The sequence below is a fragment of the Homo sapiens genome, chromosome 8, assembly GCF_000001405.40.
Source record: "Homo sapiens chromosome 8, GRCh38.p14 Primary Assembly".
NCBI classification, from domain to species: domain Eukaryota; kingdom Metazoa; phylum Chordata; class Mammalia; order Primates; family Hominidae; genus Homo; species Homo sapiens.
The window spans coordinates 136,483,015-136,507,391 of NC_000008.11; the positions used below are offsets into that span (position 1 = coordinate 136,483,015).

Here is a 24,377-nt window from a genome sequence, read left to right on the forward strand (position 1 = left end):
GAAAACAGATTTTTCTCAACACTGAGATATTTGGGGGCTCCATGGAAACTACTTCCTTGAAGTTCTCATCTTTCATAATCGGAACTACTTTATGAATGCCTTCTTCCTTTCTGTTTGTTGGCCACACCGAGGAGAAGAACCCAAAAAGACATTTAGCTCAGTCCTTGCTCATTGTTCTAGGGACAGGTATCCAAAGAGGGGACCTTAAAGATTTTGTTCAGTGTTATGCTGACCAGCTCACGAAGGCAATGGGGGAGAAAAACACACACACACACACGTACACACACACACACACACACGCACACACAACAGTGGCTAACATCAGTGTACTTGGTACTCTTCTAAAAGCTTTGTAGCTATTATTTCATTCAAGAATTAAGGCAGAAGTCTGGGTTGAATCAGGGACTGTGCATGATCCTTGCAGTAGGTTTCAGGGACTTCAAGTGGTGATGGAAGCAGGGAAGCTGGTGGGTTATTCAGCTGGGAAAGAATGGAACTGGTACAGGAGCCATGCCATGCCTGGCTGATTTCTTACCTTTTAAAAGATGTCTTATGATTTCAGGACATGGTGTGCTTTCAAATATGGTATTTTATGTAATAGTGACAAAACTCTACCCACCACATATGACATATGAGGTTCAGCAGAAATACATTTAAACCATGTAATACATTGGCCCTTATAAAACATGTGAGTTAGGGGCACCAAACCCCTGTGTAGTCAAGAATCCACATATAGCTTGACTTCCCAAAAACTCAGCTACTAATAGCCTACCATTGACTGGAAGACTTACTGATAGCATAAATAGTTAAGTTTTTTTTATGTTATATGTATTACATACTGTATTCTTACAATAATTAAGCTAGAGAAAAGAAAATGTTATTAAGAATATCATCAGGCTTTGGAAGGCCAAGGAGGGCGGATCTCCTGAGGTCAGGAGTTCAAGACCAGCTTGGCCAACATGGTGAAACCCCGTTTCTACTAAAAATACAAAAAATTAGCCGAGCGTGGTGGCGGGCACCTGTAATCCCAGCTACTCCAGAGGCTGAGGCAGGAGAATCACTTCAACCCAGGAGGCGAAGGTTGCAGTGAAGTAAGGTCACGCCACTGCACTCCAGCCTGGGCAACAGAGCAAGACTCCTCAAAAAAAAAAAAATCATAAGGAAGAGAAAATAGATTTACTATTTATTAAGTGGAAATGAATCATCATAAAGGTCTTCATCCTCATTGTCTTTCCACTGAATAGGCTGAGGAGGAGGGAGAGTAGGGGTTGGTCTTGCTGTCCCAGGTGTTGCAGAGTTGGAAGAGGTGGAGGAGGTGGAAGGGAAGGCAGGAGAGCCAAGCACACTTGGTGTAAATTTCATTGCAAAAAATACATGTATAACTTGACCCACGCCCTTCAAATTCAGGTTGTTTCAAGGTCAATTGTAATCTGTCCAAGGCCAACAAACTTGAAACTGATTGCCTTCACGTTCTTTCCCAGCCCCATTCCCTCAGTCATTCTGCTCCAGCCACACCAGATTTTTTGCCTTTTTTCAGAAACATTCTTTCTTTTCAGGGCTCTTGCAGTAACTGCTTTCCTTGCTTAAAATGCTTGCACCTCAGATCTGGCATGGCTCTATCTCACACATCATTTATGCCATTTTCCTCATTGCCTTCTCGGGCTTCATTTTCCTCCATGGTATTCTATATATTTATTTGATTAGTTTCCATTTTTCTCAGGAGGACAAGGGCCATTTCTATTTTGAATATTGTATTTCCAGCACCCGAAAAATTCATAATGTTAAAGGAAGTGATTGCATGATGCATTGATAAGGGGTGAAACCCCAGCCTCAGTCATGCATCTACTGACATGGGCTTGGGAGCTTTCTTCAGGGCCTGGACTCCTGCTTACTTCTCCCCTTCTTCCCAATACAACATTGTTCCTGGGCTTCCCCATACAAACAAATGAATCCTTTGAACTTTTGTTTCTTTTTTCCTTACAATGGACTTGTAAGATAAGAGCTCCTATTAATTCAATTTAGCAGCTTTTACCACCAAAGTTCAGAGATGCTAAGTGATTTGGCCAAGATCACACAAGGTTATCAGTGCAGGGCTGCTTCTCACCCGGGTCTACTGATAGTCTCCACTGATGGATGGCCTTTGTGGAATCTCTGCTGTGTTTCTGCTTCCCAGAGGATGCTAATTCAGTTTAAACAACAAAACTTGGCAAGAATGCTTTTCACTTGTGTTACTGCAGCTCCTTAACCTATGACATGATCACTGATCATGTTACCCTACTGTAACCAGCACTCCTTAATAAAATGTGACTGTGGACCAAGAAGCTGGTCAAGGCTGGGAAGAAGGAAATTCCATAGATGATGTATTATTCCATTCTCATATTGCTATAATGAACTACCTGAGCCCGGGTAATTTATAAAGAAAAGAGTTTTAATCGGCTCACGGTTCTGCAGGCTGTGTAGGAAGCATGGCTGGGGATGCCTCAGGAAACTTTCAAACATAGTGAAGGCAAAGGGAAAGCAGGCACATCCCACATGCCTGGGGCAGAAGGAAGCGATGGAAGGAGGCAGCGCTACACACTTTTAGACAACCGGATCTTGTGAGAGCTCTATCCTGAGACAGCACTAAGGGGATGGTGCTGAATCATTAGAAACTGCCCCTCTGATTCAATCATCTCCCACCAAACCCCACCTCCAACACTAAAGATTATAATTCAACATGAGATTTGGGTGGGGACACAGAACCAAACTATATCAAATGAAAAACAAGAGGCCAGGCGCGATGGTCTCATGTCTGTAATCCTACCACTTTAGAAGGTCGAGGCAGGTGGATCACCTGAGGTTGGGAGTTCGAGGCCAGCCTGACCAGCATGGTGAAACTCCATTTTTACTAAATACAAAAAATTAGCCAGGAGTGGTGGCGGGCACCTGTAATCCCAGCTACTCAGGAGGCTGAGGTGGGAGAATCGCTTGAACATGGGAGGCGGAGATTGCAGTGAACTGAGGTTGCACCACTGCACTCCAGCCTGAGCAACAAGAGTGAAATTCCATGTCAAAAAGCAAAAAAAGAAAGAAAAAGAAAAAGAAAGAAAAACAAGAGGCTCTGAAACACAATGACAGGCAGGCTGTCTACTCACTTTAACTTTTGTATAGGTCACAAAGCCATTTTAATGACATGATTTCCTTTTTTACTCAGTTCCTCCCTAAAATGCTTTGAGGAAGGTGGGTGGAAAGGACGATGTCCATGTCGCAAATGATGGAGCTGAGAATCAGAGAAGGGCAGAGATGTATATAAGGTGTATTAGTCATGTTAAAAGAAAAACCTCAGCTGAATTAAATTTAAAGGAGTTTAATTGAGCAATGAATGATTCACAAATCTGGGCAGCCCCCAGGATCACAGCAGATTCAGACTCCAGGGATGCATCATGCTCAGAACAAATTTACAGACAAAATAAAGGTAAGTGACGTACAGAAATAGGAAGTGAGGTACAGAAACAGCTGGATTGGTTACAGCTCAGCTTTTGCCTTATTTCAACAGAGTTTGAACAATTAGCAGTCTGTGAGTGGTTGAAATATGGCTTCTGGGAGTGGCCAACACTCAGTTACAGGCATATACTCTTAAGTTAGATTTTCAATCTTGTCTGCCTATTAAGCTAGGTTACAGTTCGTCTGCAATAACTCAAATATAGAGTACAGAGTCCTTCTCAGGCCTCTGAGTTTGCTTTAACACTTATCTCAGGCTGCCATAACAAAATACCACAAACTAAGTGACTCAAACAACAGGAAATTATCCTCACAGTTTCTGAGTGTTGAAAATCTAAGATCAAGGTGCCCATAGATTCAGTTTCCTAGTAAGAGCTCTCTTCCTTGCCTGTAGACAGTCATCTTCTCTGTCCCCATGTGAACGGAGCACTTGCTGTCTCTTCATCTCTTCTCAGGACACTATGTGAATGGAGCACCTGCTGTCTCTTCCTCTTCTTCTCAGGACACTAACCCAATCATGAGGGACCTGTCCTCATGACTTCAACTAAACATAGCAATCTCCCAGCAATCCCATCTCTAAATACCATCATCTTGTGGATTAGGGCTTCAATTATGAATTATTGTGGGAGGCATAATTCAGTCTGTAATATAAGGCTTCACCACCAGTGAACAGGAATCAAAGATAGGTAGGTAAATTTATCCTGAAAGACCAAAACTTGTTCCATTAGCCATCACCCTATTATCTCAAATGAAACTTGAGATTGGGAAGCTATCAGTTAAATAACTCACTCCTTGAGATGTCTGACAGAAAGAGGACCTGATGTGGACCCAATCTCACTCTTTACTCTGTTGCCTCATGCTGTTTCCCTTAACCATTAAACAGATGGATAGCAGGTGTTGGAACATGATTTTCCCCTTTGCCACCTATGATTGTCATTAAGTCTGTGCACCAGATGTGTCCAGGTTTCTGCTCCTTCTGGGCACATGATGTAATGAACTTCTCCTCCCTTAAATATTGGGTATAGCCATGTGACTTCCTTTGATTAATGAGATTTGAACAGAAGTGGAGCTTATCTCTTGCATGCAGAAATCTTAAAAGTGAGTGTGTGATTGAATCGAATTATTTCTCCTGATGCAGGGATAGTAAAGGCCTTCAGGCCCAGCCTTGTACTCACCCTCACCCCCACCATCTCATTCTAAATGTGGAGCTTGGTGAGAAATACACATGAGTCATGTAAGCCCTCTGAGATGTGGGCTGGTGCAAAACCACTGAGAGAACCACTGAGCTAGGTGAATCAGAAAGAGGCAGAGAGAACAGCTTGAGCATCCACAGAAGGGAGGGTGTTGGGGTGGCTGGAAGCTGCCTAAAATTGCCAGAACATGAAGTGGGAGGTGGGGAACTCAGGCAGTTATTGATTTTGCAGGAAAAATGTATACTACACTTCTCACATTTCCCTCAAGAGCAAAAAACTTCTACTTCTTGGGAAGAAAAACAGGATTCATCTGCCAAGTGACACTGGGACAAAGAACCATACAATTGCAGCTCAGTCCCTGGTGGGTTCTCTCTCTTTCTTCCATGAAGGGGGCAGGGCAGGCTTGCTCTGTCTGTCACGTGGCAAGCAGTCTGCCTTCATTGGCTGACACCAGTGTCAGCTCTGCCTGAGACTGGGTGGAGAGGGTTGAGGAACTGGTCAAATATTGAAGAAAAAAACTGATGTTAGAGAATAATAAAGCTGATAATAGATATCCATATCTCTCACTTGTTTTCAAAACTTGGGATACAAAGGAAAGATATTATATGTCTACACACCCAAATCTCATCAGTTAGCAAGAGGAGAGACCACCTGATGGGCCAAGCATGGAGTGAAAGATTCCAGGCTGTATTTGGAAAATCAGCAAGAGAACAGGAAAATGATTCCTACAACAATGTAGAGTTTGTGCGAAAGACACTTCTTCCAAATTATGTCAGCATCATTGAGTTACTATACCTAATAATAATAATGACTGTTATAATCATAACAATGAAAATAATAATAATATCATATTTTATTCAACAGTTTAATGCTAGTATACAAAACCTAGTCAGAGGCAGAGACTAACAGATGGTATTGGGAAGATTACCAGAATATTGCTAGATATTATGCATTATCACAGTATTACAGACTTAGAGAAAACTATAGCTGGCTTTAAAGTGTCAGTGGAACCTATGAGTAATTCCAACACTAGAGGGTGGAGACACCAAAGGGAGGCTAAAGGAAGGAGGAGCTAATAATTATGCATGATCTTTATTTTCTTAGTTTTTCCATCAACTGGTCATCAGTTTCCTTTATACTTGTGGCTGTCAGAATAGGATCAAGACAGTCACACTAGATAGATTGGTGACTTCTAAACCCAGATTTTCATTAACATTTGACGAGGTTATACTCTCTCAGTGTTCATACGTGAGTTTGGAAATACACTTTCCATAATGCTCACCTTATTATCATTATTAAAGTGTGAAAAAGATTTAATTCTTAACATGAGATCAAAGTGGGAATATGCCACGGTTGTGCTTACTGCTTTGGAAAAATAATGCTAAATTAGTGTTTTACATTAGAACTGCTCTATTCTTCTGTAGTGACCAGATTATAAAGTTCTAGAGTTGTGCTCTTTAATCTGGTTGACACATATGGACATTGACAATTTCAACTGTGGCTAGTCCAAGGGAGATGTGTTAAGTATAAAATACACACTGAGGAAAAACTCAGGCTGCACTTGCACAGATAAACAGGCAGAGTCCAGCACAGAAGCCTCTTGTTCTTTGTTTGATTAGCAGGCTTCCAGGAAAAAGTTTCCTTCCCTTTTCAAACATGTACACAATGGGCTCCATGGGAACTTGCATGCGAGGAGGGGGGGTTACCTAAAACAAATGCACAGTTATACAAACAAGAGAAGTGGCACTCCGTGCTTGCCTAGCGACATACTCACAACCACATAGATAAGGGGGAGTTGTGCAGACAGCTTTTCAGGTAAGAGAAATTACTCTAACAGCTACAGAGATGAAAGGAGTTTCTTATAAAAGCTTTTGAATTCCAGGGTAAAAATGGCACCCAGTTGGGCTCCCCTCTCCACTGTGAAGAGCTTTTTCCTTTTGCTTATTAAACTTTCTCTCAAACCTCACCCTTTGTGTCCACCCTCCTTAATTCTCTTGGTCATGAGTTGACGAGTTTGGATAACATCTTAGACAATGAGACTGGTGACCCTGACCTGTTTCCGTAACATTTAATATATGGATACTTTGAGTTAAATACAATATGCTAGTGAAAATTTACTTTTTTTTTTTTTTACTTTTTAAAAATATGGCTGTTAGAAAATTTAAAATTATTTATATGGCTATAGGAGAGAAAAATAATACCTTTTTTTCACTCATCTCAAGGTTCATGGCTGACACTCCTATAACTGAAGATGAATTAACAGGAGAAAAACATAACACATTTATTTAAGCAAAGTTTTAGGTGACACAGAAGCCTTCAGAAATGAAGACCTAATGACACATGAAAAACTTATTTTTATTCTTAGGTTTGATGAAGAATAGACAGCTGTTTATAAGCATGATTGAATAAAAGGGTGCGGTCTAACAATAATAAACCGAGGGAAGTCAGCAAGGCTTGTTGTTTTCAGGTTTTTATTGGCCTGTGTCTTTATTCCTTCCCTCTGGGTATAGGGGGGGAATGTTTCACGTGAAAGTCTTATGGTCTTATGACCAGCTTTCAGGGGAGGAAGGTCAGGTAATTCCTTCATGGCGAGCTCTCAAAAAGAAGGGTGGGAGAAGGTCAGAGAATGACATCTACTGTGCCACATTTTGAGGTAGTGTCTCTTAGCCCCAACATGGCTCACAGAAATATTTATATATTCTCTTAAATAGCACTGTTCTAAAGTGGAAATATTTTATTCTGAAAAGATTTTAAACATCATGTCTGTCTACTTAGACATTGCCAGTTTGCCAGAATACTAAAGCACTGTTTTTCAGTAAGATACCAATAGGATGAGTCCTTGGTGATGACACTCTTCCCCTGACGACCAGGATGAAGGAAAACTAGGAGCCCTGCCCATGTTTAACCAGGTCCTCACCTGTCCTTCCTTAGGAAAACTGGCACCACAAAACAATCCACCTTGGAGAACATCAGGACTCACGCCTGGGTGATGATCCTTAGTAATAACTACGTCAAAATCCACAAGAATCTGAGCTCTTATGGTCATCATTTCTCCACAGATACCTGCCTCCCTACTGCTCTGAAAATCCCTATTTTATCATCACTTCCTTTCACTATCTTTCCAAATGTTTGCACTTTACTATCTGAAAAGCTTAACCTATCGTTAGCAAAGCTCTTTGCTCTAAGGAAATCTGCTTCTTTTTGGAGGGCACTGTTTTCCCTGCAGCTTTCTCAACAATGTCTGCTTTCTCTTCCACGCCCCCTAGCACCACTGAATGAGGACTTGAAGGAAGTTAATTCCTTATTCTGCATGTTACACTCCAAGGCTAGCTCCCCCTACAAGTACCACTTCTTTCAAAAGCCACCCAGGTTTGTAGCTCTTGTCATCACATTGTACTGCTCACTCTTCTTCTTTGATGTGGCCACCACTCTATCAACCAGTTCACTCCTCTCATTCTCTGAAGATTTCAGCACAAGGTTCTCTGCCCCTCTTTTCCACATTGCTCTTACCTTAATTTTTGGCGATTCCAGTATCCACATAGGTAGTGTAGACCTGACTTTTCATGAACTTCATCTCTTCATTTGCAACAAGGGAATGTCATGGTCATACCCAAGCCCTATCATTATTTAACTTAACAATTTTCATAATCTCAATATCAAGCATCCCACTTTCTGACCATAGCCTCTATCCTTCCAACTCCCTTATGGTAATAACAAGTTGTAAAAGTGTTTGATCTCACCATGTCTCAAAATTATTTACACAATCACCTTTACTCTATCCTTCACTCCTTTTATGTCCTTACTTTCCTCTCATCCAACATGAAGTAAATGGAATATCTTGCATATTCTCCATTTCATCACTTCTTGTTTTATTCATTGTATTGACTCAAAAATGCAATTACTTTTATGCTTTAACAACCATATTTTGAGAACCCAATGTCATAATATAATGGGCTATGCATCTCCTGATATCATTATGCTACTTAATTTTAATGGCAACCTGAAGGCAGTTGGAGGTAGATATTGACATTTCCTTGAGCTCCCAAGACAACATGAAATTGCATTTGCTTCTTTACTTGCTCTTTCTTCGTCCTCTCCCCATTATGGTTTTCACCAACCTGAGATATATGAGCTCTTGAAAAGTAGTGACAAGTCCTTTTATGTTAACATTCCAGCAACTAACAGATAGCCTGGAACATATTCAGTGTTTAAGTTTTCTTGAATGTGTTGGGTTCCAAAAAAGCAGGATTAATTTCTGTAGATCTCCTAAATACACAAAATTACCCTCCATTGTTTTTCTACAAATTCCCAGAGTCATCTATCATAAAATTCTAGTACTTAAAGGGACTTCAAAAATAATCTAGCACAACCATTTTATTTCCCAAATCAGAACATGAGATACCGTAGAAGAAACAAGAGAAAGGGAAATATTTTACACATTACATCTTTTGTTATTCTAATGAATTATATGTCTGTACTGTCAGAAAAATAATATTCATACAAAAACAAGAGCTTATTTAATTTTGTTAAAACCATGCTGATCAGGTGACTTCTGAGTAGAATATCTGATTTCAAATTTTGACTATCTCTCATTCTGTATGATAATGAATTTACTCCTTTGGAATCATTTTACTCATCTGTGAAATGAGAATGATGTTATTTGTATCATCAGTACCTTACTGAGCTATGCTACACATAATAAAGGTAAATAATTGAGAACAACTGGCTTGATTCATGTGGTCAACACATAACAGATCCTGTCTCCTCTTCCATTATCTCACGCTCATTCACTTCCTCCTTTCTCCTCTGTTTCTAATTCCCACCCTTTATCAGACTTGCCAGCTTTCCCCAGGTTAACAAAAAGTCATTGTATATGATGTATTGAGATTATACAAGGAAAACAAAACCTCTAATAATCATGTCGCATTCCAGCAAGTGACTTCTAAAACAGATGCCAAGATTCAAGCTCAGAAAAATATTCAGCTGGCAAATGCAAAGAAAGAAAATGTAATATTGAGGTCAATAAATTCTGCTTTACAAATGAAAATATGCCTTTAAAACTCATTTAATATTTACAAAATTTGTTTATATAGGACTCAAATTCTGCCACACAATAATGAAGAATTCATTGATTTCCAATTTTGATTAAATAATATATATATAAAAGAATATGTGTACGATAAAGAGAAATGGCTGTTGCTATTCCCGAACTTGATCTTCAAGGAATGACAGTAACCCAGGGACTATACTAAGAATAGAAATAAATTGATGGCTCCCACTATCTTGTAGAGAACTAAAGAAGTTGTATATCTGCATGTGCCTGTTTGTACACACAAATGTGCATGTGTTTAGCGTATTCATTCTTGCTCTTTTTTCTTTTCATGGCATTGTCTAGCTACACTATACATTTTCCAATGATACATTGCTTAGCCCAAGTTTTGACACAGCTGATTTTGCAAGATTCTCATCAGTCCCTAATTAACAATATTTTTTTCTCTTTGCTTTTTCTTCCCAACATCTATTGCTCTTAAAGTTTCCATTAAGCAAAAAAGAAAATAATTTTGAAGTTGCTGCCAGGTATTTGTTCTCCAAAGCAATGTCCTCCTGGAAATTCTTATTCCTCTTCTTTCTTTTCCTTTATGGTCACACCCTTCAAGGCCACCTTGCAAATTTCTTTTTTAGGAAGCTTGTTTCATAATCTTCCAACTGCTGTGGTCTTCATTTGATCTACTGAGGTGGTTATTTCCTTATATGTTTTGATTTGGGTTGCAGAACTTAAATTCCTATGTAAATTGTCCTTGAATCATGAAGCTTTAGATACATATCTGGCATGCATACTTTTCCTTGAAGTCTTCCACTAATATTCAATTTGACTTTGTCTCCTCCTGTGTAAGAAATTTCTTACAAAGGAGGACTTTATCATCTCCTCCTGTGTAAGAAATAACAACTCAGTTATTTCTAACTTACAGGATCTTTCTCATCCTAGCTTGTAGTAAATGTTTGCCTGTCTATTTTACATGTTTACGTTTGTATGTCTAATTTGCACTAAACTTTAAGTTGTTTGAGAGGCGAACCAAGCCTTATAGACAGTAGCTTAGAGTGAAAAATGCAGCCAAACTAAAACCAGCAAACTCGATTTTGAGTTTTGATTCAGTCACTCATCATGATTCTAGATACTCACACTTTATTAGGGCCTTGTTTCCCTTTTTAGAAAATGAACGTATTTCTGTTAGTCTTGCTAAACCATGTCCCTTCACTAACACCTTCTGCTCTAGTGGAGAACAGTAATGCTCTTAAGCTGGGCAAATTTCCTTCTGACCTAGGAGATTTGTACATAATGAATCCTTATTTCAGGAACACCATTTCCAGAACATTCTGTCCAGAATATTTCAAGAACATTATCACCTGTTGGCCTAGTTATCAGTCTTATTCACCATTAAAAATCTCAGTTCATGAAAAGCCTTTCCTAACTTCCTTCACTGGGTTAACAGGCCGTTTTATATAGGAATTTTAGCAGGTGTAATTCTATTTTACGGAACTTTTCCAGTTTATGTGAACGTTTGATTTACTTTTTCTTTTAAAAAATTACTGCATGTGTGTTCAACATCATATCCTCAGAACCTAGCCCAATTCCAGGCACATAGTATTGACTCAATAAGTATTTATTAAGTGATTAGTTAAGAGTGAAATAGGACAGTTCATAAAACAACATATTATAAACTGGGAAAGTCCCTAAAATGTAAAATTTGTTATGATTCATTTTTGAATCATTTGCATTAAAAAGAATATTTATCCAAGAATTCATACAAAATAAAATGCATATTTTCTATCCCTAAATTTTCTAATCTATAGGCTGTCTGGTAGCTAGAAGTTGGTCTTTTAGTTCATCCAAGTAACAGTTTGAGAATAGTCACTATGTTAGAAACAATATTAGATTCTAGGGTCACAAGGATTCTTACAGAAACAAGTCTCCCTTCAAGATTTTCACAGTCTGGTGAGGATAGTGTATTAGTTTGTTCTCACACTGCTAATGAAGACATACCCAGGACTGGGTAATTTGTAAACGAAAGAGATTTAATTGACTCACAGTTCCACATGACTGGGGAGGCCTCACAATCACTGTGGAAAGGGGAAGCAAGATACCGCTTACACGGCAGCAGGCAAGAAAGAGCTTGTGCAAGGGAACTCCCATTTATAAAATCATCAAATCTCATGAGACTTATTCACTACCACAAGAACAGTATAGGGTAAACTGCCCCATGATTTATTTATCTCTACCTGTCCCCACCCTTGATATATGGGGATTATCATAATTCAAGGTGAGATTTTCCTGTGGACACAGCCAAACCATATCAGGTAGCAAATATATAAAGAAGTTAGGGTTATCATAGGGGCTTAGGTGAAGTTAAGATATGTAAGCAAATCTGGACTTGAAGAAAAAGGATTGTGTCTGTCTGTGTTAGATATAACTTTAGAGAAAATATGGCTTGAAATCTACTTTATAATAAAAATAATTTTGGCTTACCCAACGTATAATATATTTGGTGAAGAATAGCAGAAAGAGAGGTTGAAGATATAGTCGTGGAGGTGAAGAAGGGCCATATCCTGAGAGATAATATGCTATTAATATGTTGTGGCTGGGGGCGGTGGCTCACGCCTGTAATCCCAGCACTTTGAGAGGCCGAGGCAGGCAGATCACCTGAGGTCGGGAGTTCAAGACCAGCCTGACCAACATGGAGAAACCCCGTCTCTACTAAAAATACAAAGTTAGTCAGGCATGGTGGCGCATGCCTGTAATTCTAGCTACTCAGGAGGCTGAGGCAGGAGAATCGCTTGAACCCGGGAGTCAGAGGTTGCAGTGAGCCGAGATCGTGCCATTGCACTCCAGCCTGGGCAACAGGAGTGAAACACCATCTCAAAAAAAAAAAAAAAAAATGTTAAGCACCATGAAGAGTTATTGGAGGAGACTGCAGTGGGCTCTCTTTATCTTCAGGTTCTGCATCCACAGATTTAACCAATCACAGATCAAAACTATCTGGAGCAAACAGATATATGAAAAGGTGCTCGACATCATTGATCATCAGAGAAATGCAATTAAAATCTACAATGAAATACCATCTCACCTCAGTTAAAATGGCTTTTATCCAAAATATCGGCAATAATGAGTGATGATGAGGATGTGGAGAAAGGCAAAACCTCACTTACTGCTAGCGAGAATGTAAATTAGTACAGCCACTATGGAGAACAGTTTGGAGGTTCCTCAAAATGCTAAAAATAGAGCTACCATATGATCCTGTAATCCCACTGATAGGCATATACCCAAAAGAAAGGAAATCAGTATACTGAAAAGATATCTGCACTTCCATGTTTATCAGTTTATTGCAGTACCATTCATAATAGCCACAATTTGGAAGCAACTTAAGTGTCCATCAACAGACAAATGGATAAAGAAAATGTGGTACATATACACAATGGAGAACTACTCAGCCATTAAAAAAAGAACGAGATCCTGTCATTTGCAACAACATGGATGAAAATGGAGGACATGTTAAGTGAGATAAGCCAGGCACAGAAAGATAAACTTCATTTGGTCTTACTCAGTTGTGGGAGCTAAAAATTGGAACAATTGTACTCACGGAGGTGGAGAGTAGATTGATGATGGTTACCAGCGACTGGGAAGAATAGTAGGGTTGGTGGGGTGAGAAATGAAGATGATTAATAGGCATCAAAATATGATCAGATAGAATGAAAAATATCTAGTATTTGATAGCACAATAGGGTTACTACAGTCATCAACAATTTGTTGTACATTTTAGAATAAATGAGGGGGTACAATTGGAATGTTTATAACATAAAGAAATGATAAATGCCTGAGGTGATGGATACTATATTTACCTTGGTGTGATTATTACACAGTGTGTGCTCATATTAAAATATCTCATGCACCCAATAAATATATACACATACTATGTACCCAAAGAAATTAAAATAAAATATTAAATGGAAAAAACAAAAAAGAAATAAAATTAAATTTTTAAAATATGAAAAAATAAAAAACAATACAACAATAAAAGTAACACAAAATTTTAAAAATCATATGGTATAACAATTATGTACATAGAATTAACATTTTACTAGGTATTACAAGTGATCTAGAGATGATTTAAACTATGTGGGAGGATGTGCATAGTTATTTGCAAATGCTAAGTGATTTTATATTTGGGACCTGAGCATTGTGGGTTTTTGTATCTGTAGGGAGTCCTGAAACTAATGTTTCTCAAATATTAAAGGATGACTGTGCATATAATAAGAATGCTTTTGGCTGCGAGTAACTGAAAGTTTAACTATGAATGGCTTTAATGAAAGAGAGATACATATTGTTTATTATACTAGGGAGTCCAAAGTTATTAAAGGCTAAAGAAACAATATATTCAGATCTCTGCCTCTCTTCTTTGTGATTACCTTAGACCTGTGTCCTCCTTAGCATGTTCATTTACTAAGGATGTCGTCTTTTATAATCCCAATGTGGCTACCAGCAGCACTTAAAGCAAAATTCTTCCTGCTTATGTCAAAAAAAAAAAACAACACACATACACACAAAATATCTGGTTATCTGATCGATATACCTTTACTTTTATTGTTCCATCCTTAATCATACTTACGTTTACTCCTGAGTCCATACTCAGCACTAAAGGATAAGAATAGATGTATTTGTGTAGATCTTATTTCCTAAATGCAAATGTAATTACCTTCTTGTGGGCATTGTTGATGAGATTAAGCCAGTGTCCCTGGTCACATTGTAGGCCATAGCAATGGATTTGTGCTATTTAGAATGATCTGAAATTGGGGAAAAGGTCTGCCTTCCCTGAGACATGTGGGACACAGAGGGTAAACACAGATATTTTAAAAATCATGATACTCTTAGGAAGATGATGAGAGATGGAAGTGGTAGGTAAGCAGACATCTTACTCAGCAAATTAGTGGCAAAGCTACCTCGACTACTCACAGCTTCTAACTGCTTGGTGGAAAGTTGAATAAAAAATCTGATTGTGCTAACGACTCAAACAACAAAAGAAGTCCTGTTTAAACCTAGTGAAGAACAATTTTCTACCTCCTAACAAAATCCTGGATGCCTAATTCTCATTTGAGTATCAAAGAATGAAGAAATAAAAGTGTTGTTGGGTTGTAAATAAAACATTGTATTTTAAAGATGTTGAGGCCGGGCATGGTGGCTCAGGCCTGTAATCCCAGCACTTTGGGAGTTCGAGGAGAGCAGATCACCTGAGGTTAGGGATTCAATACCAGCCTGGCCAACAGGTGAAACCCTAAAAATTTAGCTGGGTGTGGTTGTGCACACCTGTGAGCCCAGCTACTGGAGAGGCTGAGGCAGGAGAATCACTTGAACCCAGGAAGTGCAGGTTGCGGTCAGCCAACATTGTGCCACTGCACTCCAGCCTAGGTGACAGAGCAAGACTCCATCTCAAAAAATAAAAAAAATAAAGATGTTGAGTTGCAAATTATAAGCAGCTGAGAAGGTAGAACTAGAGGGCTTGTGCTGACATATAGATGTAGGTCTTACCTCCAAAATATAGGCTATCATTAAGAGGTTCTTCAGTGGAGGCAACATATTATTAAATATTTAGAAGATAATATTAATAGAATGTAGATAGCAATTAAATGTTGAAATTTAGATTGTGGGATAATCTAATAAAAAATAAAAATATAGTAAAATATAAGTAATGAAAACAGAAAGAAGGGAAAATACAAAACACTTTTGGCACACATATGATATCTAGATATAGATAAGATTATGAAAAAGAATATTAAACAATAGAATTTGAAGAAGACAAAGGTGAGGATGAAGAAAGAGAAGGTGAAAAAGAATGTGAAGGTGAAGGTGAAGACAAACAAGAAGAAAGAGAAAGGAATTATCTCAGCAGAAAATACAAGTTTCTCCTAGAAAAGAAAATCTCAGAACAGGACAAATTTTTAACATCTTGTTCCATAATAAAATCAGGAGACTAAGACGTATATAGCACTTTCGGTGGCATGAGGCCAGTTTGAATTCATTTTCTCAAGCTTGCTAGAAAATTTGCCTTGTTCACTGACTTTTTTTTCCATTTGCTAATGTTAATTTGTCCATTAGCAACTGCGTTTTCTTTTTAGTACATACAGCAAAAAGGAGCAAAGAAAGCGAGTGAAAATAATCTTTTTGACACTACCATTATATTGCCTGAAGTTCCAGGGAGTCAAGGAGATGTGAGCGATCTTCAGCACGGTTCTATAGAAGAATTCAATAATACAGAGGAATGGAATCACAGGGTCATACGCTCAGTGTACACTTAACTTTATAATAAATTGCCATTAGTTTGGTGCAAAAGTAATTGCAGTTTTCAACATTGCTTTTAATGGTGAAAACTGCAATTACTTTTACACCAGCCTAATAGTTTCTCAGGGTGGCTGTATTATTTACGTTAACAAAAAGCAATGTGTGAACATTGCAATTCTTCTGCATCTTCATCAGCACTTGTATTGTTGGCCTTAACATTTTAGCCATTCTGGTAGATATACTGTGGTTTTTCATGGTAGTTTCAAATTGCATTTCCCTGATCACCAATGATGCTATTTTTAAATATGATTATTGAACATTAGTATAGGTTTTGCTGCAGTGTATGTTTCTGTCTACTTCTTAATTGGATTATTTGTCTTCTAATAATTGATTTGAAAGTGTTCTTTATTGATGGTTATGAATTTTTTGTTAGATATATGGATTGTATATGATTTTCTGTATTCTGCAGATTGCCTTCTAACCATGACTTTAGAAGGCCTAAATTTTTAAATTTTAAGGAAATACAATTCACAAATTTTTATATGTGTTATGCTTTTACTTTTTCATTTACAGAATTATTTCTCTCCACAATATTGCAAATATTTTCTCCTATATTTGCATCTGGAAGTTTTCTAATTATATCTTTTATCTTAGGTCTATAATCCATTTCAAGGTGTTTTCTTTTTGCCTGCAATTCCAGCACTTTGGGAGGCCAAAGCGGGAGGCTCACTTAAGCCTAGGACTTTGAGATAAGCCTGTACAACGCATTGAGAGCCTGTCTCTAAAAAAAAAAAAAAAATCAAAAAATTAGCCAGCTGTGATGACATGTGTCTATGGTCCCACACTGCTTGTGAGGCTGAGGTAGGAAGATTGCTTGAACCCAGGAGGTCGAGGGTGCAGTGAGCTGTGATCCACTGCACTCCAGCCTGGGTGACAGAGCTAGACACTATCTTAATTTTTTTTGTTATTCTGTATGTTGTGAAGTTAAAAGCTTCAAATTTTCTTTCTCTGTGCAAATATTTAGTTTCTAAACATTTATTTTAAAAACCTCTTATTTCTGCTATTACCATAGCAATTTTGTCAAAATCAATTGACCATAAATGTGTCTATTTCTGAAATTTCTATTCTGTTCTCTTGATCAATGTGCCTATCTTAACACCAACACAGCATTATTATTATAATTTAGCTATATATAGTAAGTCTTGAAACCAGAGAGAGTCTTCTAACTTTATTCTTCTTTTTCAAAATTTTATATTAGTCTATGTTCTTTGCATTTCTACATACATTTTAAAATCAGCTTGTCCAATTTCACAGAACACTTTGAAAAACTCGACTAGTTTTGATTGAAGCTATATAAAAGAGTGAGGAGAATTGACATTTTAATAATTTTGAGTCTTCTAGTTCAAAGCATGATCTATTTTCCATGTGCTTGGGTTTTATGTACCTTCAGCAATGTTTTATAGTTTTGAGTTTCATGTCTTATGTATATTTTGTTAAATTTATCCCAAGTTTTTAAGAATAGAAATTCTATTGTAAAGGGTTGTATTTTCCTTTTAATTCAGTTTTGCATTTATTATTGCTAGTGCATAGGAATGCAATATTTTTAGCTTCACTTTGTATTCTGCAATCTTGCCACATTTACTTATTAGTGCTCACAACATTTTGTGTATATGCCTCAGGAGTTACTACGTACATCAACATTTTTCCCACCAAGAAAACAAAACTCTTTTGCTATCTATCTGTCTGTCTATCTATCTATCTATCTATCTATCTATCCATCTGTCTATATTGTGATAAGAAAACTTAACATAGATCTACTATCTTAAAATTAGTAATATATAATACATTGTTGTTCACCATATGCATAATATTATACAGGAGAACTCTAGAACTAAATTGTCTTGTATAATTTAATCTTTACACCCATTGAATGACTATTTGACTCTTCTGAGTTTGCATTTTGTGTTTTTTCTTGCTTCATTGCATTTTCCAGGACTATCAGTATAATATTAAATAAAAATAGTAAAAGATGACTTTTTATATCTAGCTTATAAGGTTATTAGGGAGAAGAAGTTTAATATCTTTCATCATAGATTATGTTATCTGAAGGTTTTTTATAAATATCCCTTATCAGGTTTAGGAAGTTTCATTTTATTTCTAGTTTACTGAGGGCTTTTCTAATGGATGGATGTTAAATTTTGCCAATACTTTTTCTGCATCTTTTGAAAATACTATCTTATTTTGCTCGTTTGTTCTGTTAAAAGAGCAAGTCACATTGATTGATTTTCAAGTCAAATAAACCTTACATTCCTATGAAAAACTCTTGCTATAGTTTGAATGTTCATCCCCTCCAAATCCCACGTTGAAATTTTATCCCTAGTGTTGAAGGTGAAGCCTAATGGGAAATGTTTTGTTCATGGGGGCAGATTTTTCATAAATAGATTACATTCTCCCCTTGATGGTGGTATGTGAGTGAGTTGTCACTCTATTAGTTCTCAAGATAGCTTGTTGTTAAAAATCACCCGGCACCTCCTCTGCTCCCCCTGCTTCCTCTTTTGCTGCATGAGGTCTGCACACCCTGGGTCCCCTTTGCCTTCCACCATGGGTGGACGCAGCCTGAAGCCTTAACTAGGTACTCAATCTTTCAGGTAGTGGAACTCTGAGCCAAATAAACCATTAAAAAATAAATTACACAGCCTCAGGTATTTCTTTATAGTAACATAAAACGGACTAAGACACTCTATTGACCATTCAGAAGAAGTTAAATTTGTTATACATTGCTTTGTTTTATAAATTTGTTATGCATTTGTTATCACATTGCTCAATGTGATAACGTTTGGGTAAGAATTTTTAGATATATGGTTATGACACATATTTGTTGATTTTTTTCTTGTAGTTAAAAAAATTTTTTTCATACTACACAGAGGTATCTTGTAGTTTGTTTTTTGATTTTGTTAAGAGCATAATAATGGGCTCATTAGATGATTTGGGATATGTCTTTCTCCATCTGCTGCATCTCTACTTTCTGAAAATGATGCATAAGGATGTATTATCTCTTTCCTAAATGTTTCATAGAATTATCCAGTGAAGCATTCCATATCCAAAATTTGAATTTATGAAAATGTTTTTAGTTACGAATTAATGTTAGTAATCATAGAATTGTACATATTTTTCTATTTCTTCTTGAGTCTGTTTGGTAATTTATGTTTTACTATCCTTTTTATGCCTGTAGTCCCTTTAGTGATTTCCGATTGACACATCCTAGGATACTCGGAATATATTAATTGGGTAGACTCAGATGACATACATACATGAATGGCAAGTTAGAAACATAAGCATTTTGGGACAAATAGAAATACATATGTGGTTTCTGAGCCAGAGGTTGGAAAATGATTAAAGTAGGTTAAACTCTAAAGGTTGGACAGATGAGAGAAAATATATTCTGAGACTGGTCCACATATTTTTAGGGAACTTCATCATACTCACAGTCATAGGGGAGTGTATCAGTTATCTATTGCCACGATAATGCTAAGTAACAAGCATCCAGGGAATCTCAGAAGTTCAAAAAACATTTTCTATGGATCTGCATGTTGGCTGGAGTTCACTGATTCAGGTTGTGCTCTGATGAGCTAAATGGAAAAAACTTGGTCTGGTCAGCCTTTCTCATTTGCTTCCTTGTACCAGGAAGCATGGATGTGTTCTTACAGTTATTGTAGAAATACTAGTGGCCTTACTCAGGTACATGTCTATTTATATACCACTGGCAAAGTAAGTCGCATGCTCAAACTCATCATCAATGGATAGAAAAACATGCTACGCTCCTTTTGTGGGAGAAGATGAAAAACCAGTATTAAAAGCTATATAAAGGAAGAATTAGGGACAGTAATGCCGTGCACCACACAGAGTATGGTGTCACAGGAGGGAGGAGCCACGATTTAGCTCTCACAAGTTCTTTGCTTCCAACATTGCATGAATGGGCTTGACTACATCCCTATGTTCTCAATAGATGTAAGAAAGAAGCTTTATCTATCAAGGAAATTTGCTAGAAAAATGGGGTTGTGGGTCGCTGTAGAGAGGGGTTGCTGTGGAGAGGTAGCTTGCAGGAATAAATTGAACCAAGGACAAAAAAATGAAAGACATCCTGATTTCCCCAAATGCTTAAGGGTAGTTACTCATCTTGCAACATCTACAGTACCAAAAAGAGCTAAGGTGGTCTATAAATAGTATTCCAGAGATTTATACCACATTGCCATCTTGTTGGATATTATTTTCCCACTTCCTGAGAATGTGATACTTACTGTATTGTGGGAGGGAAAACTATCTTACTAATAATGTAACATAAATTAAGAGGTATTAAATGACAGGGTTGGAATTTGAACCCAGATTTTCTTGATACCATTGGTATTTTTATATGTTTGCATCATGATATTTTTGGTATTCATCTGTAAAGTGGAATATTTTGCTACATATACTATTTCCTGTGATTACATTTTACTCTGAATCTAATGAAAAGCCTGGCATATCTTTGGGAAGTCTTACTTGACCCATCCAAATAATACAGACAAGAAATCACTTCTTTGTGGCATAAAAGGACATATGCTCCTCTTTTTGCATAAATAGCTTGGGCATGTCATTATTTATACAATTAATACTTTTAATAGAGTTCAATTTGTTTGCAAACAGTGATGTCTGCATATTTATTTTTATATGATGAAGACATAAAATGGTGACTTGAATATGGTAGAAAATAAAGGATAACTATATAGGTAAGTAAGTAGATAGATAAGTAGGTAGGTAGGTAGAGAGATAGATAAAGTGATTAAATGATTTATAATAGTCTTTCCATTTATATTTATAATATTTATTCCATTAGAAAATGAATGTTAGTGACTCTTCCTTTGGATTCAACTAGAATTGTTGCAAGTAGACAAGTTGTCCTCAGAAGTCATTGCATCTGACCTAAAATTAAAAAAAAAGTACTAAAAATTCTTAGATGGCAGTGTTCACAAGATTGGAATCCAATTTCATAGTCTTAGGAGGCTAAAATAACCTATGGATGAAATTCTAGAGGCAAACTAGAAGGAATATAGTTTCAGAAGCAGGCTCAACCAAAATAAAAAGGATATATACACACACACACAGACACACACACCTGTGGAATGTTTTCTAACCAACAAATCTCTGATATAATTGACAGAATAACACTGTGAGACAGGCATCATTCAAAGAAATGGTGTATAGTTGAAAAAAATACATTGTCTTCTCATAGAACTCTAGTAATCCCAGTGACTGAGGTCATGGTTGCTACAAAGTAAAGATAGATTATTTTCCTGCAGTCCAGTGGAACAACCAAGAACTACTGCTCTGGGAGATGGTTGCTGCAGAAATGCAATCTGGAGAACCAGGCATTAGGTGACAGTAATCTTCCTCAAGGGAACGAACAAAATTATCCTTTTCCCTCTGTGAGTGGCTCAACATTTGGTTAATGATGCAGGAGTGCTAGTTAAGTGAGAGGGTGCTGAGTAAAGGGAGAGAATTCAACAGCTGCTTTTCCCTGTGATGAAGAATGGGTTTGTTTTTTGTTTGTTTCATATTACTTCCCAATATGTGCTCATACATATTTTTATAGATTTTGTTATTATCTGTAAACCCCATGGGAGCCCCATACCTTTTGCCTGAACTTGGCATTACTCATAGCTGTCTCCTTGTTTAAGTTCATGGAAATAGAAACTTAAATATGACAAAGCCAAATGCACTCTTAAGGGACCTGTGGTGCCAGCCTCATCAAATCACACTATTCCATTTTGTAGAGAAGAAAAATGAGGACTACAAAGTATAGTGAATAGTCTCAGGTTGCACAGCAGGTGAACAAAAAGAAAGGATAAGAACTAATTTTACTGTCTTTAGATATTTCTGCTACCACACCCTGAACTCCTACCTTTACCCCACCTCAAATCCCACACACCTCTGCCATTGTCGAGGAGAGCTGTACTGCCATTAATGTGATAGTTCACATTGAGCAGAGCAGGTGGCCCGTAACAAGCTCTCAATAAATGTGAAATAATGTTTTCAAAGCTATACGTGTTATTTATTAACATGCGAGCCATTTTCATTCCTTTTGAAGGTTTTTAATTTTTAGTTTCTTTGGTAGTGATATGCTGACCAGTCTTTGATAACTTACTCTCTGTATAAGTTTCCTAAGGATGCCACAACAAACTAGTGCAGACATGATGTGTTAAACAATAGATGGTTATTTTCTCACAATTCTGATGGTGAGAAGTCTAAGGACCAAGGTGCCATCAAGGTTGGTTTCTTTGAGGGCTTTCTCCTTAGACGGTAGAGGGCTGTCTTCTCACTTCATCTTCACATGGTCTCTCACCTGTATGTCTGTGTCCCTCCCCTTCTTAAACAAACATCAGTTACATTGAATTAGGGCCCACCGTAGTGACTTCATTTTAAATTAATTACCTTTTGAAAGAGACTGCTTTCAAATACAGTAATATTCTGAGGTACTGGGGGTTAAGACTTCAATATATGAACTTTATGGAGACATAAGTCAGCCTGTATCACCCCTAAAAAAACAGAAAAGAAAGAAAAGAAAAAGAAAGCTAAGATTCATGGCGCTCATTGATTTCTATGGTGGCAAATACTACTTAAAGACAATTTCAAGTCACCAATGTGACATATCTAAACACAGCATCGGCAAAGAGATGTGCACACTTGGCTTTTCTGAGCCAGTGAAAGCTCATTCCAGCACCACTGCTATTCAATCATTTTGCCCTCTGACTGATATTCCACTGTTATAAAAGCATACCTTTTTACCTGAATCCCATTTTCAAGTTCTGTATGAGCTTAGAAAGGCATCACTCAAGGGGGTCCCTGTGAAGGTTAGGAGTTCTGGAAACTGTCCTGAATTGAAAAGTGAAGCTAATTTAGGGGGCCTCAGGCAATAGTTCCATAATCATAATGAATATTGTGGTTATTTCGAGGAATTTATGTTAAGCCAAGAAGACAGAGTAAGGTGGGAGACAGTATCTGGTCTGAATGGCCAGGTTATGTGTCAAATGTGAATCTCTCCCTCATTTAAGGAACATTCTCTCTTTTTCTGTTAGCTTTTGTTTGCTTGTTTATTTATTTATTTGGTAGCTTCTATGCCACCATTTTCTGCTGCTTACTGTTTTTCCTCTTAAAATTCTGATTGGAACTTCATATAACTTTAAATGTTTCAATATAAACGCCTAATGCTTATGCAGGACCACAGTTCTTATATGCTGTGCTCTCCCCTTAGAATTTCATCCAAATCGTCACGTAGAATGTCATTCATACTCCAATAGCTTTATCTGTAGTCCTAAGCTCTTTTCTATACTTAAAACAATATCTATATTTAGATGTCTCATTGTTATTTCCAGCTACATACCTGATATGGTTTGGCTGTGTCCCCACCAAAATATCAACTTGAATTGTATCTCCCAGAATTCCCACGTGTTTTGGGAGGGACTCAGCTGGAGGTAATTCAATCATGGGGACCAGTGTTTCCCTTGTTATTCTCATGGTAGTGAATAAGTCTCATGAGATTTAATGGGTTTATCAGGGGTTTCCGCTTTTGCTTCTTCCTCATTTTCTCTTGCTGTCACCATGTAAGAAGTGCCTTTTGCCTTCGGCCATGATTCTGAGGCCTCCTCAGCCATGTGAAACTGTAAGTCCAATTAAACCTCTTTTTCTTCCCAGTCTCAGGTGTGTCTTTATCAGCAGCATGAAAACAGACTAACACAATAATGTTAAAATTATGCACATGATTTATATGTAACTCCTCTGCAAGTACAATTTGTCTCAGAAAATGATTTCATAATATCGCTAATTACCCACTGAAGGTAGAACAATTTAAACTACCTGATTGGAAGAAAGAGAGAGAACAATAGTTTGAGAAAAAAAAACAAGCAGAACCTGAGTCATGCGTGATAATACCAAAAGTCTAAACTTTGTCCAGAAGAAGATAATATTGTCTGATGGGGTTTTCAATGCATGCAGGTGAAATACATGTGACAACCATAACGTAAGAAGAGAGGGTAAAGTCACCTATATGGTGATAAGTATTCTATCTGGAATAGTGAAGTATTGATTATAAGTAAACTGTGAAAAATTAAATATATAATGTAAACACTAAAAAACTCAATGAAAATTTTACTCAAAGATATAGTAGAAAATTAATAGATGGATTAAAATATAATACTAATAATTATTGAAAGCATTTAAAAGAAGGCAGAAAAGGAGAAACTGAGGAATTAAAATCAGAGGGAATCAACAGAAGCCAAATAGTGAAATGACAGGCATGAATGCAAACATGTAATTTACATTAAATGTAAGCAAAAACTATT

General features: G+C 37.2%; 1 long non-coding RNA gene across 1 annotated transcript in view, besides 2 other annotated features; it reads left to right on the forward strand.

Moving 5' to 3' along the window:
• Positions 4,769 to 4,818: a silencer, noted in NCBI's record as "silent region_19570". NCBI's record gives its function as "represses an Ori minimal core promoter by ATAC-STARR-seq in GM12878 lymphoblastoid cells {active_cell/tissue: GM12878}" and the evidence as "EXISTENCE:reporter gene assay evidence [ECO:0000049][PMID:35858748]".
• Positions 6,415 to 24,377, forward strand: part of LOC124900255 (uncharacterized) — a 30,869-nt gene continuing 12,906 nt past the window's right edge. The window contains exon 1 of the long non-coding RNA XR_007061190.1: positions 6,415 to 6,488. This is a non-coding gene — a long non-coding RNA (uncharacterized LOC124900255). The remainder of the gene's footprint in view (positions 6,489 to 24,377) is intronic.
• Positions 11,854 to 11,943: an enhancer, noted in NCBI's record as "active region_28024". NCBI's record gives its function as "activates an Ori minimal core promoter by ATAC-STARR-seq in GM12878 lymphoblastoid cells {active_cell/tissue: GM12878}" and the evidence as "EXISTENCE:reporter gene assay evidence [ECO:0000049][PMID:35858748]".